The sequence below is a fragment of the Homo sapiens genome, chromosome 20 (genome assembly GCF_000001405.40).
Source record: "Homo sapiens chromosome 20, GRCh38.p14 Primary Assembly".
NCBI classification, from domain to species: domain Eukaryota; kingdom Metazoa; phylum Chordata; class Mammalia; order Primates; family Hominidae; genus Homo; species Homo sapiens.
In genome coordinates this window covers 36,126,862-36,143,940 of record NC_000020.11, presented here as the reverse complement: position 1 = coordinate 36,143,940, position 17,079 = coordinate 36,126,862, and the positions used below count along the sequence as shown (strand labels likewise).

At 48.3% G+C, this 17,079-nt stretch overlaps 1 protein-coding gene across 13 annotated transcripts in view, besides 3 other annotated features; it reads right to left on the bottom strand.

The window, feature by feature from the left end:
* EPB41L1 (erythrocyte membrane protein band 4.1 like 1) overlaps nt 1-17,079 on the bottom strand; it is a 141,386-nt gene that overhangs the window by 88,859 nt on the left and 35,448 nt on the right. The window lies entirely within an intron of this gene.
* Nucleotides 677-726: a silencer, noted in NCBI's record as "silent region_12869". NCBI's record gives its function as "represses an Ori minimal core promoter by ATAC-STARR-seq in GM12878 lymphoblastoid cells {active_cell/tissue: GM12878}" and the evidence as "EXISTENCE:reporter gene assay evidence [ECO:0000049][PMID:35858748]".
* Nucleotides 5,016-5,065: an enhancer, noted in NCBI's record as "active region_17804". NCBI's record gives its function as "activates an Ori minimal core promoter by ATAC-STARR-seq in GM12878 lymphoblastoid cells {active_cell/tissue: GM12878}" and the evidence as "EXISTENCE:reporter gene assay evidence [ECO:0000049][PMID:35858748]".
* Nucleotides 14,453-14,954: an enhancer, noted in NCBI's record as "H3K4me1 hESC enhancer chr20:34716909-34717410 (GRCh37/hg19 assembly coordinates)". NCBI's record gives its function as "activates a minimal SCP1, AML or CMV promoter by ChIP-STARR-seq in naive H9 embryonic stem cells {active_cell/tissue: H9 hESC(naive)}" and the evidence as "EXISTENCE:reporter gene assay evidence [ECO:0000049][PMID:30033119]".

The window sequence follows — 17,079 nt, the reverse complement described above, 5'->3', positions numbered from 1 at the left end:
GCAGAGGTTGCAGTGAGCCAAAATCGCGCCACTGCACTCCAGCCTGGGCAACAGAGCGAGACACTGTCTCAAAAAAAAGAAAAAAGAAAAAAAAAGAAAAAGAAAAAGAAAACCTTTTATCGGTCCTGATTTCCTTTGAAAATGCAATGAAAACTGCAGAGCTTCTCCTAGAAAAATGTACATGGGTATGCACCTGCACACACATACACACACACAAAGTCACACTCACACACACACATACCTACCTTTATCATCTTTCAGGTATCAAGAGAGCTCATGAAGCCCATGCATAGATCACCCCCTGAGTGATAGATAGATAATCCCCTTGGTTAAGACTTGGGCTAGATGATCTCTAATCAGCCACGATAAGAAATTAGCTGTATATGTGTGTATTTTGTATTTTGTATCTAATTTAAAGGAACCCTACATTAAAGACTTCACTAAGACGATGAGCTTTTATGTGGGCTTTTGTGGGACATAGATGTTGATTGGCTAAATGCTGTGCTTCCCCAGAGCCTGCCTCACCCTTGTCATATTGCCTCTGAAGTCACCCTCTCCATTCCACTCTCTCTGCCCTTTTTCAGCAGGGAGTGAGCACACAGTCCTGAAAAATACTGCTACCCCCACTAGCTGTCTCTGTCCCCAGCTATGAGAGGGTAGAAAAGAGCGAGCCTGGTCTGCCTCTCATACTCCCACCCCAAAGCCCTGGCTCAGAGGTCAACCAATCAAGAGGCCCCCAGATGGCACCTCTATCCCCAACACACACACACACACACACACACACACACACACACACACACACAAACACACCCTCCCTCACATAGCCACAACCACAGGACTGCACCTCCAGACACCTGGCGGTGCGGTCACTCGGAACCGGCAGGAGTTATTTTTAGAGGCCAAGTGACAGGATGGTGAGAGCAGTTCCACTCTGTCAGAGTTACTGCTGCCACCACCAGCTCTGATGAATCACTCTCCACTACGTGAATGGACAAGTCTGTCAGCATGGCCACGGAGGCCATGCCAGCTTCTAGAATGAATGTCTTGGATTGGTGACTACGCTGATCACACCAGGCTGAGCCCAGGATCACACCAGGGACAAGACTGCCAGGCCTGAGCCAGTGCAGCCAACCCAGCCCAACTGCCCAGCACAGCCTCCCATAACCAATACAGTCGGGCCAACACAGCACAGCACAGCACAGCCCGGGCAGGTAAGCCCCTTCAACACAGTCCAACCCAGCCCCATCAGGCCACCCAGGGGCCTCTCTTTGCAAAGTCCTTTTAGAGTGGCTATTGATGCCTCCCTCCGCCCAATCCGTGCAAGTGAGCCTCCCACCCACTAAGCTACCGCTGCCGGGTTATTAAGATAATGAGCCGCCAATAAATTGGGCAGATTCAGACAGTGTCAATGCAGCTATCAACTGGTTTCATCTTTCATCGTTGAAAAAGTACATGATAAGCCTTAAAAGTGTGCATACCGTTTAACGCAGAAATTCCTTTTTTAGGAATGGATCCTTAGGGAACAATGAATGACACAAAGATGTGGCTATAAGAACATTTGTCTAAGCACTGTATACAGGAGTAAAGTAGAGCATTGGAGTTAATATATATGTCCAATAATAGTGGCTACGTTATAAAAATAGTGATACATACATATGCTGAAATACTACGCAGCCACACAAAATAATGTTGTGGATCTATATGTGGCTATATAATCATGTTCTTAACACAATACAGGTAAAAAAGCAGAGACAAAATGGTACGTAACAAATGATCCAATTTCTACAAAATACGTTTTTTGTTCTTTTTTCTTTTCTTTTTTTTTTTTTTTGAGATGGAGTTTTTGCTCTATTGCCCAGGCTGAAGTGCAGTGGCATGATCTCGGCTCACTGCAACCTCCGCCTCCTGGGTTCAAGCAATTCTCCCACCTCAGCCTCCCGAGTAATTGGGATTACAGGTGCCCCGCCACCACGCCTGGTTAATTTTTGTATTTTTAGAAGAGACAGGGTTTCACCATGTTGGCCAGGCTGGTCTCGAACTCCTGACCTCAAGTGATCTGTCCACGTCAGCCTCCCAAAGTGCTGGGATTATAGGCGTGAGCCACCGTGCCTGGCCCCAATTTCTATAAAATATGTATGTATGTGTACATGCCTAGAAAAAAGCAAACAGGAAATATTTTAAAACATGTTACCAGACGTTGTTTTATGATAGTGGAATTATTTCTTTTGTGTACATTTGGGTCTTGTTTTGTTGCTTACTTTCTGGTATATATGTGTAAACATATTTATATAAGAAAGGTCTGTTACCTTCACCTCTCTCAAAGCTTCTGGCCTGAACCATTGAAGGTCCCTCCTAGAATCTCACTAGAGCCCCCACCTTTCAGCAACCACAGCCCCCCTTGGGCTGCCTCTCTGGCTTTGAACTTTGCTGCCCTCTTCAGTTGTTCCCTGGAGTTTCACTAATGGGGCCCATCTAGCCAATTCCCACAGTCTCCTGACACAGGCCCTCACAGCGGAAGTACCCTCCAGGGCTCCCTATTCATGCATAGAAACCTAACAGAGTCCCATTCCCTCATCTGACAGTAAAAGAAAAAAAAAATAATAAAGATGACAGTCGTAGTGAACCTTCACATTTCTACTTTGTCTTCCTTTTTACAGAGCACTTTATTATACATGTTTCACTTAGCCCTCCCATTGGTGAGAAAACTGAGGGCCAGCAAGTACAGCAGCACAACACTTGCCAAAGGTCATAGAGTGAATCAGGATTCACATGCAGGTCTGATATTGACAGATAAGGAGGTAAATGGAAGAAATGAACACGTAATCCTGAGCCCACAGTCTATGAAAGGGGCCATATTCTACAAAGACCCTCCTCCTGCCCCCAGCGCCTTCTCCCAGCTGCTGTCCCTTGCCCAGAATCCCACAAAACCCCATCTGGGGCCACATGCCCTACATCTACTCATCAGCCCATCATTCCCTCCCAGCTTTGGAAACAGGCTCTTGCTGCCTCCTCGGAAATCTTAGCAACGAGACATCCTGCAGCACCACCCTCTCCACCTGTGGGCTCTTCCATCTTGGGCCTGTCTCATTAGGGGAGGGGGTGGCTAGTCGGGCTCTCTCATGGGGGTGGGGGCTGTGACACCCACACACGGCAGGGGCAGGGGAAGAGAGGAGATGAAATCAGCCTGGATGGCCCTCACTCTGGGCCTCCTCTTGCACTATTCATTTCTTGGGCTTCTGATTATCTGCTGACTGGGACAAAAAAAGAAGCCAAATCCTAGGGCATGAATTCTAGTCCATTCCAATTTTATTTTTGCATTTCTGAAATACACGGATTCTTCCAACCAGAATATTAATATTCAAAATAGCAATAATAAAAGTATTAGCAACAAAACAGCTACTTTATTCAGTGCTTACAACCACCCTTGAGAAGTCATATCCCCACTTTACAGATGAGAAAACTGAGACTCAGCTTGCCTGAAGATACCTAGCTAATAAATGGAAAAACAATTGTGTCTGACATCCAAGTGTATACTTTGACTACCATGTCTCTTAGAAAGCACTTAATCCTGGTTGGGTGCGGTGGCTCATGCCTGTAATCCCAGCACTTTGGGAGGCCAAGGTGGTTGGATCACTTGAGGCCAGGAGTTCAAGACCAGCACGGCCAACATGGCGAAACCTCATCCCTACTAAAAAAAAAAAAAAAAAAACATACAAAAAGTAGCCAGGTGTGGTGGCGCGCACCTGTAGTCCCTGCTACTCAGGAGGCTGAGGCACAAGAATCACTTGAATCTGGGAAGCAGAGGTTGCAGTGAGCAGAGATTGCGCTTCTGCACTCCAGCCTGGGTGACAGAGCGAGACTCTGTCTCAAAAACAAACAAACAAACAACAACAACAAAAAAAAACCACCTAGGCCGGGCACGGTGGCTCATGCCTGCAATCCCAGCACTTTGGGAGGCCAAGGTGGGCGGATCACCTGAGGTCGGGAGTTCGAGACCAGCTGACCAACATGGAGAAACTCCATCTCTACTAAAAATACAAAATTAGCCAGGCATGGTGGCACATGCCTGTAATCTCAGCTACTCAGGAGGTTGAGGCAAGAGAATCGCTTGAACCCAGGAGGCAGAGGTTGCGGTGAGCCCAGATCGTACCATTGCACTCCAGCCTGGGCAACAAGAGTGAAACTCCGTCTTAAAAAAAATAAATAAATAATAATAAGAAGAAAGCACTTAATCCTATCCCTTTACTGCACAGATGGGGAAACTGAGACCCAGAGAGGGGAAGGGCTTTGTAATCAGTCAGCATCTATTTATTTACTGAGCAACAACTAGGTCTGAAGCGCTGAGCTAGTGCTGTGAATGAGGAAAAATTTAAACTTCTGTGTTATTGGATAGACAAGCTGTGACTCTATGTATTAATCATTGCTAAACCTAGGCAATGGGTTCACAGAAGTGCATTACACTATACTCTTTATTTTTATGTATGTTTGAAATTTTGCATAACAAAAAAATTTTTTTTAAAGGATGACAGAAAGATAACTGACTATCATGCAAACCGTAAGTCTGGCTTGAACTTATAAAACTCGAAACAAATTTAGGAATATTTTTGCTCTGATAGTTTTGAAAATCAGAAAAAGGCAATTGTACTGGAATCTACTTCATAGCCTTTCTTTTCCCACCTTTCTGTAAAATTTTCTGCCTCTGTTGTTGCTAGGAAATCAGTGAGCCAAGAGAATCCTCGTTGGCCTAGCCGGGCCGTCTCCCTTCCCACACTGCCTCTCTGGGGGTACAGCGTCCCTGTACCCAGGAAGCTGGCCCTCTTGGGCCGGCTTTCTGTGGATCCACAAGGCAATCACCACAAGAGGCTGAATAAGAGCCTGTCAGTCACTGGGAGACAGGCAGCTATAAATCCAGAGGACCATGATTAGAAAGCAAATTACAGGCCTCCCGCTCTAAGTTTCCAACTCACAAAACTTCTTGGCAGTCAAAGGGCCTTTACTTAAGTTGTTCAAAGTTTCCAGAGAGAGTGAACACACACAAGGCAAGAGAGAAAAAAAAAATGGGACACAACAGAGGCAGAAAATTCTATAGACAGGTGGAGAGAGAGGCCACTGGGAGGCAGCATGTCACAATAGTTAAAAGCAAGGCTTTGGCGGCAGGTCAAAGCTCCAGTGCATGTTCCAAAGCTTCCTAGCTGTGAGACTTTGAGCAAATAACTTAACCTCTCTGAGTCTTTATTTTCTCAGCTACAAACTGGGGATAATTCTTCCTACTACTCAGAGTGGACGCAGGGATTGAGTGAGGCAATATATGTCAAATCATTAACCCAGTTCCTGGCACATATTAAGCATGCAATAAATAGTGGCTTTAAAAAATGTGCTGGCTGGATGTGGTGGCTCATGCCTGTGATCCCAGCACTTTGGGAGGCTGAGGCGGGCAGATCACCTGAGGCTGGGAGTCGAGACCAGCCTGGCCAACATGGTGAAACCCTGTCTCTACTAAAAATGCAAAAATTAGCGGGCGGGGTGGAGAAGCTGTAATCCCAGCTACTCGGGAGGCTGAGGCAGGAGAACTGCTTGAACCTGGGAGGCAGAGGCTGCAGTGAGCCTGAGATCGTGCCACTGCACTCCAGCCTGGCTGACAGAGCGAGACTCTTGTCTCAAAAAAAAAAAAAAAAAAAGTGCTAACCATACAACCCAGCAATTCCACTTCTGAGGCTATATCCAAAATAATTGAAAGCAAGGTGTCAAAGAGATCTCTGTACAGCCAAGGCCATAGCAGCATTATTCACATAGCCAAGAGGTGGAAGCAACAAGTGTCCATCGACAGATGAGTGGATAAACAAAATGTTGTACATATATACAATGGAATATTATTCAGCTTTAGAAAGGAAGGGAATTCTGATACATATGACAACATGGGTGAACTTGAGGACATTATACTAAGTAACAAAAGCCAGTCACAAAAAGACAAACACTGTATGATTCCACTTATCTGAGGTATCTAGTCCAATTTGCAGTTACAGAAAGGAGAATGGCAGCTGCCACAGGTTGGGGGAGGAGGAAATGGGAGTTATTGTTTAATGGATATAGTTTCACTTTTTTCATATTAAAAAATTTGGCTGGGCATGGTGGCTCATGCCTGCAATCCCAGCACTTTGGGAGGCCGAGGCGGGCAGATCACCTGAGGTCAGGAGTTTGTGACCAGCCTGGCCAAGATGGAGAAAACTCATCTTTACTAAAAATACAAAATCAGACGGGCACGGTGGTGCATGCCTGTAATCCCAGCTACTCAGGAGGCTGAGGCAGAAGAATCGCTTGAACCCAGGAGGCGGAGATTGCCGTGAGCCAAGATCGCGCCATTGCACTCCAGCCTGGGCAACAAAAGCGGAACTCAGTCTCAAAACATAAAAAAAGTATTCAGGCTGGGTGCGGTGACTCATGCCTATAATCTCAGCACTATGGGAGGCTGAGGCAGGAGGATAACTTGAACCCAGGAGTTTGAGACCAGCCTGGGCAACATAGTGAGACCCAATCTGTATCCAAAAAAAATTTTTTTTAATTAGCTGCCCCAGCGCAGTGGCTCATGCCTATAGTCCCAGCACTTTGGGAGGCTGAGGCATACGGATTACTTGAGGTCAGGAGTTTGAGACCAGCCTGGGCAACATGATGAAACCCTGTCTCTACAAAAAATAAAAAATTAGCCAGGTGTGATAGTGCATATGCCTGTAGTCCCAGCTACTTGGGAGGCTGAGGGGCGAATATCCCTTGAGCCCAGGAGGCAGAGGTTGCAGTGAACCGAGATTGAGCCACTGCACTCTAGCCTGGGCAACAGAGTGAAACCCTGTCTCAAAAAAAAAAAAAAAAGGAAAGGAAAGAAAAGGAAAAAAAGAAAAACTTAGCCAGGCATGGTGGCATGCATGTGTAGTCCCAGCTACTTGGGAGGATGAGATGGGAGGACCATTTGAGCCTGGGAGGTTGGGGCTGCAGTGATCGTGCCACTGCACTTCAGTCTAGGCAACAGAACAATACTCTGCCGTGGAAAAGTAAATTTTAAAAAATTAAAAAATTCAGGCTCACACCTGTAATCCCGTTACTTTGGGAGGCCAGGGCAGGAGGATTACTTGAAGCCAAGAGTTCAAGACCAGCCTGGGCAACAAAAGAAGAACCCCATTTTTACAAAAAAAAAAATTAGTCAGGTACCACGGTATGCACCTGTAGCCCCAGCTACTCAGGAGGCTGAGGCAGGTGGACTGCTGAAGTTCAGGAGTTCAAGGATGGAGTGAGCTATGATTGCACCTGTGTACTCAGGCCTAGGCAACAGAGCGAGACACCATCTCTAAAAAAAAAAAAAGAAAGAAAAAAGATTTAAAAGTTCTGAAGATGGTGGTAGTGATGGTGTTACACAATATGAACCTACCCAACACTACTGAAGTGTACACTTACTTAAAAATGGTTAAGATGGACCAGGCATGGTGACTCACACCTATAATCTCAGCACTGTGGGAGGCTGAGGCAGTTGGATCACTTGAGGCCAGGAGTTCCAGATCAGCCTGGGCAACACGGTGAAACCCTGTTTCTCCAAAAAAAAAAAAAAAAAAAAAACTTAGCCGGGCACAGTTGCATGTGCCTGTAGTCCCAGCTACTCAGGAGGCTGAGGCGGGAGGATCGCTTGAGCTTGGGAGGCAGAGGTTGCAGTGAGCCAAGGGCATGCCACTGCACTCCAGCCTGGGCAACAGAGAGAGACCCTCCCTCAAAAAACAAGTGGTCAGGGTGGTAAATTTTAGGTTCTGTATATTTTACCACAATTTTGAAAATTTTTTTGTAAGTTCTAGCAAGAAAACCAAACAAGAAAGTAAAAGGCCATGAGATGATGCCAAAGAAATAGGGGGAACTGAAAAAGTGAGACCACAGTAATAGGAAGGTTAATGATCCAAAGACGAAACACTCACCTCATATGCACGCCCTTCCTAAGCTGTCAAGTATAAAGGGAGGAAATTTTCTGGAGGGATTTATATTTCCAGGGTGTTCAGGACCCTACCTGCTACCCTCAATTCTGCCCCTACCGAGGGGTTGTCCTGATAATCACTGAACAGGCCTGTGGGAGAACCTACCTCACCCCTTCCCCTTTCCAGAATCCTCAAGGAAACAGTAAAGGATCGAAGTCTAGATGTGAAGGAAGTCTATCTTTACAACAACAGGCAGAGACAGCAACTTTCAGGCAGAAGAGCAGCTTGTGCAAAGGCCTAAGCTAAGAGCTATGCGTGGGAGACCTCCAGGGTGGCCAGAGCCTCAGATATGTAGAGGGAAGCAGGAAGGAGGCAGGGGCAAGAGGTGAAAGCCCACAGGCTAGACACTTGCACTTCCCATCATCTCAGTGACCTTTAAATCAATCCCAACTGGCAGGTATTAATATACCCATTTTATGGAGAGAGAAACGGAAATCCAGACAGATAAAGTAACTTGCCCAAGGAAACACAGATGGTGAGCAGAGGGGGGATTCCAAACCCGCTGACTCCTGACCTCATGCTTATTGCTTCGGCCCATGTGGTATCAGTCCCTAAGGCCAAGACCGTGGGCTCTGGAGGCAGAATCCCAAATCCCCCTCTATCCCTCACTGATTGTGTGATCTGAAGGAAAGTACTTAACCTTTTGAGTCTCAGTTTCTTCAACTGTACAATGGGAATGACCATATACATACCTCATATGGTTTTAAGAGAAGTAAACGTAATATTTCAAGGAAAGTGGGTTGCAGGCCGTGATAATAGACAATACAAAGTAGGCTGGGTGCAGTGGCTCACGCCTGTAATCCCAGCACTTTGGGAGGCCGAGGTGGTCGGGTCACTTGAGGCCAGGAGTTTGAGACCATCCTGACCAACATGCAAAACCCTGTCTCTACTAAAAATACAAAAGTTAGCCAGATGTGGTCGCATGCACCTGTAATCCCAGCTACTCGGGAGGCTGAGGCAGGATAATCACTTGAACCCAGGAGGTGGAGGTTGCATGCAGTGGGCCGTGATCAAGCCACTGCACTCTAGCCTGGGCAACAGAGTGGGACCCTGGTTCAAAAAAAAAAAAAAAAAAAAAAAAAGACAGAGAAAACACAAAATAGTGTTCTTATTTATTATGCTTAGGCACCCTCACAGACTCCCACAGACAGACGTGCAGCCATTGCTTCTGCCTACCTGAGACCAATGCAGCCTTTGGAGCAAGGTAGATGACAGACCTGGACCCCTGAGGAGCTAATAGCCCAGGCTGGGCAGTAACCTTGCAGGAACAGCCTGGAAACTACCTCCTCCACTCTTTATTCTCAACTCCATGGCCTGGGTAAGTTGTTCTGCAAATGTTCAGTGGGACACAGTCCAAGCAATCTCTATTCTCGTGGGAATAAATGTAATAGAAAAAACTAGGGCTGCCAACTCACCCACCCTTTGGTCTCCACCATGAGCTGGTCTCCTGCCCCACAGTACCTTCTGGGACCAGATGGCCTAGAATGTCAAACCATCAATACCAGGAAGGCCTTTGGATACCATCGAATCCCACCCCTCGTGTACATGGGAACACTGAGGCCTAGGGATTAGTGGGGATCTGCTTAAGTTCACAGCGTGAGCCAGTGGCAAAGCTAGAACACAACCTCGGGCTACCAACTCTCTGGTCTACTGGAGTTTCCAATTTATTTCACCATCGCTATTTCTTGTTGTGTCAAGCTTAAGTTTACATATTTGAAGTTCAAGAGTATAATCACCCCTGGAAGCCTAATTCTGGGAGGTGGCAAGAACTTTGGAGACAGACAGACCTGGGTTCAAATCCCAGCCCCGCCACTTCCTAGCTGAGTGGCCCTTCATTTATTTATACAGTAGAAAAAGACAATGGAGGCAGAGGCTAAGAGCATAGGCTACAGTCCTACCTCTGCCATTTCATGACAGGTGAGTCACTTTATCAACTGCTGGTTCAGCTTCCTCTTCCGTAAAACCTACCTCACCTAGTCATCCAAGTATAGAATGAGAAAAATATAAATGAAGAATCAGGTACAAGGTTTGCTATCAAGTAATGATGGATATTATTGTTACTTTTTTTTTTTTTTTTTTGACAGGGTCTCACTCTGTTGCCCAGGCTGGAATGCAGTGGCGTGATCTCGGCTCACTGCAAGCCTCAACCTCCTAGGCTCAAGCGATCCTCCCGCCTCAGCCTCCTGAGTAGTTGGGACCACAGAGGCGCATGCCACCACGCCCAGGTAATTTTTGTATTTTTTGTAGAGACAGGGTTTGCATATTGCCCAGGCTGGTCTCAAACTCGTGAGCTCAAGCTATACGCCTGCATCGGCCTCCCAAAGTGCTGGGATTATAGGCATGAGCCACTGTGCCCAGCTACTATTAATATTATCTTTAATGCTATGATTGGGGTATGTTTTCAGCAGGTAGCAAGAAGGTACCTCTGTCTCAAAGCTCTAGTCTTCCCATTTCTCCTCATGGAATCATGGAGTGTTAAGCTGGCCAGGGCCCTGTATCACAGACAACAGATCTGAGATCCAGAGGGAAATGGCATGCTCAAGGTCAGGGAGCAAGTTAATGAGAGGGGTGAACTAGAACCCAGATCTCTTGAATCTACTGACTTAATTCCCTAAACACAAGCTCTTACTTTGTGCATGGGCTTGGTGGGAAGAAATGGTGGTCTTTTCAGACCCCAAATACCAAAGGGTAGTTGGATCTCAGCCAGAATGGAACTCATCTTGCCCTCATGGCAGTCCCAGGCCAGAAACAAGGCGGGGCTCAACGCTGGTGGACCAGGCCAACTGGGCTAACAGCCAGAGTGGAGCCAAAGGCACAGCTCGGGCCCTCTCACCAGCTACATAATAAAGTAATTATGGGATTAGGGATAAAATTAGTCACTTGTGTAATTATTTTTCTTAGAACAAGAGCAGAAAGGACCTTTTTCAAGAGTTGTTCCTTGGCCCTCCCAAGAGTATTCATGCAGAGACACAGATGAGTGCACACACCCACAAGCACGTGTACACACACAGCAGTGATGGTGGTGTGTGGAGCGGGTGCTGCTTGGCTTTCTGTGGCAGTGCCTCACAGTGGGTCCCACACCTACCAGGACTACCTCTGAAGGCCAGGGGTGACATTTCCCAATGTCTGCCTCACTGAACACATTTATCACACTATCACAGGTGCACTGCCTTCCTTCCGGGCCCCCCATCATACAGAATCTCTCATACCCCTCCCCGGCCACAGCATATCAGGCCTGGACCCCCAAGCCCTCCCTCCATCTTGGAGGCTAGTGGTACAATTCCAGCAGGACCTGGGGGTCCAGTAATCCAGAGAGATCTTTGCTACTGGCTGCTGTGGCAGGCATAATAATGCGCCCCCCCCCCCCGCCCACAAAGATGTCCATGTCTTCATCCCCAGAATCAGGTGAATATGTTACCTCACGTGGCAAAAGGGACCTTGCACAGGTGATTAGGTAAAGAGTTTTGAGATGGAGAATGGTCCTAGATTATCTGAATGGGCTCAATGTAACCACAGGGGTTCTTGTAAGTCAAAAGGGGATTTGGGGGAATCGGAGGAGATATGATGACGGAGGCAGAGGTGGGAGGGACCCAGCTACTAGAAGGGGCCATGAACCAAGGCATGTGGGTGGCCTGGAGAGCTGGAAAAGGCCAGGTGAGGATCCTCCCCTAGCAGCTCTGCCAACACCCTGACTTCGGCCCCATAAGGTCCATTTTCAGATTTTGACCTCTAGAAGTCTAGGGTCATCCATTTGTGTTGTTTTAAGTATATGGTCATTTGTTAGGGCAGCATTAGGAAACTGACACAGTCACCTAGGGAGGGGTCCTCAGAACTCACCTTTCCCTCCAGACTGAAACGCCCTCCTCAAGGGCTAGCCAGGGAGATTCCTTGGGGCCAGATGTCCCCTGGATATACCTCTGGGGAACAGGCCTGAGCTGGGGCCCCAAGCTCTAACCTAGAGAGATAACTTTGTGGGGGAAAGCACCCCAGAAAGAAGGTGACGGCTCTGGGAGGAAAGGGAGAGACCCCACCTTATAGATCCATCCAGGCCCTCCACCCCTCCCACATATTCTTGAACAGAGGGCCACCTACGCCATAAACCACACCATCCACAGCAGTAGCCTGGCATCAGGGAAAGAGAGCACTGGAGGCAGGAAGCCTGATTCTGGCCTCAGCTCTGCCCCTGCATCACTAGGTGGTGAGAGATCAGCCCCTTCCTCTCTCTAGGCCTGACCATTGTCATCCTGGCTTACCGTAGTATTTCAAGTGTCTTCCATGCTTTCATGCACAGAAAGCCTCACAGGGACCCTGTGAGGTAGCTCCCTGTCATGATGTTCACTTTACAGCTGAGGAAGTGGACACAAGGTGGTTAAGAGGGGAGGCTGGTTTGAACCCAGGCAGCCTGACACCACAGCCCTATTCTGCCTCCCGCCTTAGGATGAATGAATGCATGGACAGAGGACAGTTGGGAGCAGTCCCTACACACAAGGAACAGGCTCTTCAGACCTAAGAGAAATAAAAAACAGGCTGGGTGTGGTGGCTCACACCTGTAATCTCAGCACTTTGGGAGGCCAAGGTGGGTGGATCACCTGACGTCAGGAATTTGAGACTAGCCTGGCCAACATGGTGAAACCCCATCTTTACTAAAAATACAAAAATTAGCCAGGCGCGGTGGCTCATGCCTGAAATCCCAGCACTTTGGGAGGCCGAGGCGGGCGGATCACCAGAGGCCAGGAGTTCAAGACCAGCCTGACCAACATAGAGAAACCCCATCTCTACTAAAAATACAAAATTAGCTGGGCGTGGTGGCACATGCCTGTAACCCCAGCTACTCGGGAGGCTGAGGCAGGAGAATCACTTGAACCCAGGAGGCAGAGGCTGCAGTGAGCCAAGATTGAGCCATTGCACTCCAGCCTGGGCAACAAGAGCAAAATTCTGTCTCAAAAAAAAAAAAAAAAATTAGCCGGGTGTGGTGGCGGGCTCCTGTAATCCCAGCTACTCAGGAGGCTGAGACAGGAGAATCCCTTGAACCCAGAGGCAGAGGTTACAGTGAGCCGAGATCATGCCACTGTACTCCAGCCTGGGCAACAAGAGCAAAACTCTGTCTCGGGGAAAAAAAGAGAGAGAGAGAGAGAGAGAGAGAGAGAAATTTTTAAAAATCAAATAGAGAGAGAGAGAAAAATAAAAAACAGTTCCTGCCATTCACCCTGGATGCTGGGGGTTAAAGGTTGGCATAGCAGTTTGGCAAGTTTACTGAGAGCCTCTAAGGCAGCCACAGCCTTTTACCCAGCATTCTCTTCCTGGGTCTTCACCCCAAGAGACATCATCATCTGAAATACAGGAAGAACATTTTATGCAATGTTCATTGCACTGTTATTCATAATAGCAAAAACTAGAAACAGCCGGAATATCCATGAGCAGGAAAAGGGATGAGTTGATCGTGTATTTAATAGAATCCTCAGTAACGACACGGAAGGCAGCTTCCGATACAACATTAAGAGAAAAATGCAGGACAGTACTGATGATGCGGTAGAAATTATGACTGTGCAAGAAAGAGCAAAGGAAAACTGGTGAAAGGAAACACTCCAAGCTCCCAATCATATTCAGGAGTAATTTTTTTCTGCTTCCTGTTTTCCCAAATCTTGGTACTATGTTATTATGGTTTTAATTAAAAAAAACAAAAAAAAAAACACTGCTGGGCAAGGTGGCTCATGCCTGTAATCCCAGCATTTTCGAAGGCCAAGGCGAGCAGATCACTTGAGGTCAGGAGTTCGAAATCAGCCTGGCCAATATGGAGAAATACCGTCTCTACTAAAAATAGAAAAATTAATTGGGCATGGTGGCGGGTGCCTGTAATCCCAGCTACTTGGGAGGCTGAGGCATGAGAATCACTTGAACCTGGGGGGCGGAGGTTGCAGTAAGCTGAGATCACGCCACTGCACTCCAGGCTGAGTGACAGAGCAAGACTCCGTCTCAAAAAAAAAAAACAAAAAAAAAAAACAAACCTGCCGGGTGCAGTGGCACACTCTGTAATCCCGGCTACTCTGGAGGCTGAAGTAGGAGGATCCCTTGAGTCAAAGAGTTTGAGGCTGTGATTGCACCTGTGAGTTGCCACTGCACTCCAGCCTGGCCAACATAATGAGCTCTCATTTGTAATTTTTAAAATAAATGAATAAATTGAATTTTTAAAATTAAAAAACGGTATTATTTTAAAAACGACAATAACTGCAATGCAGCCCTGAGGAACCCACACACTGAACAGTTAAGGAGAGGAGCAGCAACAGGCAAATGAGGGCAGGCCAGAGTGAGAAAGCCAGAAAGTGGGGTGTGCTGTCCCAGAGACCAAGGAGAGGGAGTGCTTCGGGAGCAGTGAGCCTGGGGTCAGGGTGGCCTGGGACCCGCTAGTGACCCAATGCTTGCCCTTATGCCTCCCAACTGCATTCATAATGCAAACCAGGTGCCAAGAATGATCTAACAATCGGCCCTCACACATTCCCCAGGAAGGCGTCTGAAAAAGTGCCCCCACCATGACCAGTGGCTCCAGGAGCAGTATTTACAATGCAAACCAGGCTCCCCCCAGGAGAAGCGGTAACTTACCACACCCGTGGCCATTCACCCCGCAGTCCAGCCCAAGCAAAACAGAAGAGGCCTCACGTACAAGAGCCTGGTCAGAATTTTCTGGTGTCTTCAGAATAGGACTCTTGGTCCATACCATTCACCAATTCTACCACCTGTGTTTCCACAGGGACTCGCAAACCAAACCACTCCCAGGACCCACCCCTCACCCCCACCCATGCTGGCTTCTTAGGCCCATCCCTCAGCCTCTTTGAGACATGTCCCTTAGATTCTGTGCCTCCTCCATGTAAGCTACACAAGCTTGCCCAGAGAGTCACATCTCATTGGCACAAATTCACCCACCCACACACCCACCAGCCTTTTTTCTTCTGAGAATGCCCCTTCCTCCCTCTCTCCACCCACCTCATCCAGGACCCCAGGCAAACCTCAGCAAAGGAGGGAAGGTCCCCCAGCAACTCATGCCTGACTTCAACATCCCATCCCTGCCTCCCACCACACCTGTGACAGACAGTGGCCAGGTCTGGCTGCTGCCTCTAGACCCCAGAGGTGGAGAGAGGCTAGGTCACAAAGCTAAAAACTAAACCAGGCTCTGAAGGCCAACTAAGAAGTCCTCTCTGACCCTCAACCTGGTGAGTCGACAAGAAGCAGGGCTGAGTCACTACCAGATGCAACCCCATCACCCCATGCTAAGAAATTGACATTGCTTACAGCCCAAATGCACGGGTCATCCTCCTGGGCAGCCTGTGGTAATGAGTGTCACGGGGCCAAGGCAGGGCCAGTACCAATTAAGGCTGCTCCCTTTCCTGCCAGTGAGCTCAGTCTCATTACTTTGCTCCATTTTCAGCTCATCTGAAAAATCCTCATTTGAGGTCCCTGGAGGATCTTAAAAGTGTTATTTAAACATTAGCTCTGACACACAGCCTCCCCCATCCACCCAAGGCCAATACTTTTTTCTCCCTGCTTTTTGGCACTGCCAGGAATGAGCAGCATCTAAGGCCCGGCCTGGGGCACCTCAGGTCTTGCAGCCTAGGGCCCCTCCTCAGTCTGAACTTTCCCCATCTCCCTGCCTTGTTTAGAAGAGAGAGCAGGGAAGGGAACTTGGTGTCTCCTGTATGGCAGACATGTCATCTTGGCAACAAGCCCTGTGAGGTGGCATTATTATTCCTGTGTGATAGATGGGGAGACTGCAACTGAGCCACCCTCCCAAGGTCACATAGCCAGCAGGTAGACAAATTAGGCCTGGAACCCAGGACTGCTGAGCTCCAGGGCTCTTCCAGCTGCCCCCGCCCACCCCCACATGCTCCTTTCTGCACACTGCCTAGCCCCACCCTGCAACAGACACAAGCACCCATCATTCGTTCCCCCGGGCTTCTGACCCTGGGGCTCGGTCCAGGTGAGACAGATGAGGACAAGAGGGGTTGCAGGATGTAGGGCTTCTAGGACAGGCTTCAGGGAGCACAATTTTTCCTACAGAAAACCAAAACAATGCTCAAGGCTGGTTACAACCCCCTATTCTGACCTGCATCTTACAAGGGAACCTACGAGAGAGAATGCAGTCAGAGGCACACAAGAGGCACGAGGAGGGCCATGGAAGGTCAGAGAGGGGATCTGGGCTGTGTGGTCAGGGAAGTCAGAGCTGGAAGGACCAGAGTTTAGCCCAATGCCTTCATTTTTACAGGTAGGGAAACCGAGGCCCAGGGAGAAGAGACCTGCCCAAGGCCAAGAGTGAGTCTGCCTATGTCAGGATTGGTATACAGTTTTCCTGATTCTTAGGCTAGCTTTCCTGGACCTAGAAGGATGAAAGGCCTGGGGCAGATGCTGCCCAGGATTAGTGAAAGACGAATGAGCAAGGGGATCCAGCACCCCCAGCTAAGGAGGTAGGACAGAGACACCAACACAGTGCATCCATGGGGACTCCAGCCTTACTCGTCTCTCACCTCAGGGAAGGTGTAGGCAGAAGAGAGGCCCTTCCATTCACCAAAGCTTAAGCTCCAGCAGGAGCCAATCAGGGCCTTAGAAGAAGGCAGAAACTTTGGTTCCCCTGGCAACTCAGACAAAGGCATCTCCTCATCACTGCAATCAGCTGGGGTGGGGATGCAGACTGTATTCCGCCAGACCCAGACAGGGCTCTCCTCTCCTTTTCTCATAAGAAGGGGGTACCAACCCAATCCCTTTGGTTTTAGCCCTGAAACTTCAGTCATATCTCTGAGCTCATCTCAGATGGGAGGCGGGGTATGGATGAGCCTCACTGTCAGAGGCTTAGGACAATAATAGCTGAGTCCTCTCCAGTCTGCGGGGGCCCTCCCGCTGCCACTAGGTGTGTGCCTCTGAGATGGGCCGGGGGCTGTGCTGATGTTCATCAGTTCATCACCCCTATCCTCCTCTCCAGAGGCAGTGCCAGCTGCATGCCATGGGAAAGCCTGTAGCTGCCAGTGAGGTGCCTGGGCCAAGCCCAGCTGTGGCATTATTCACAATCATGAGCAACTTTCATGCACCT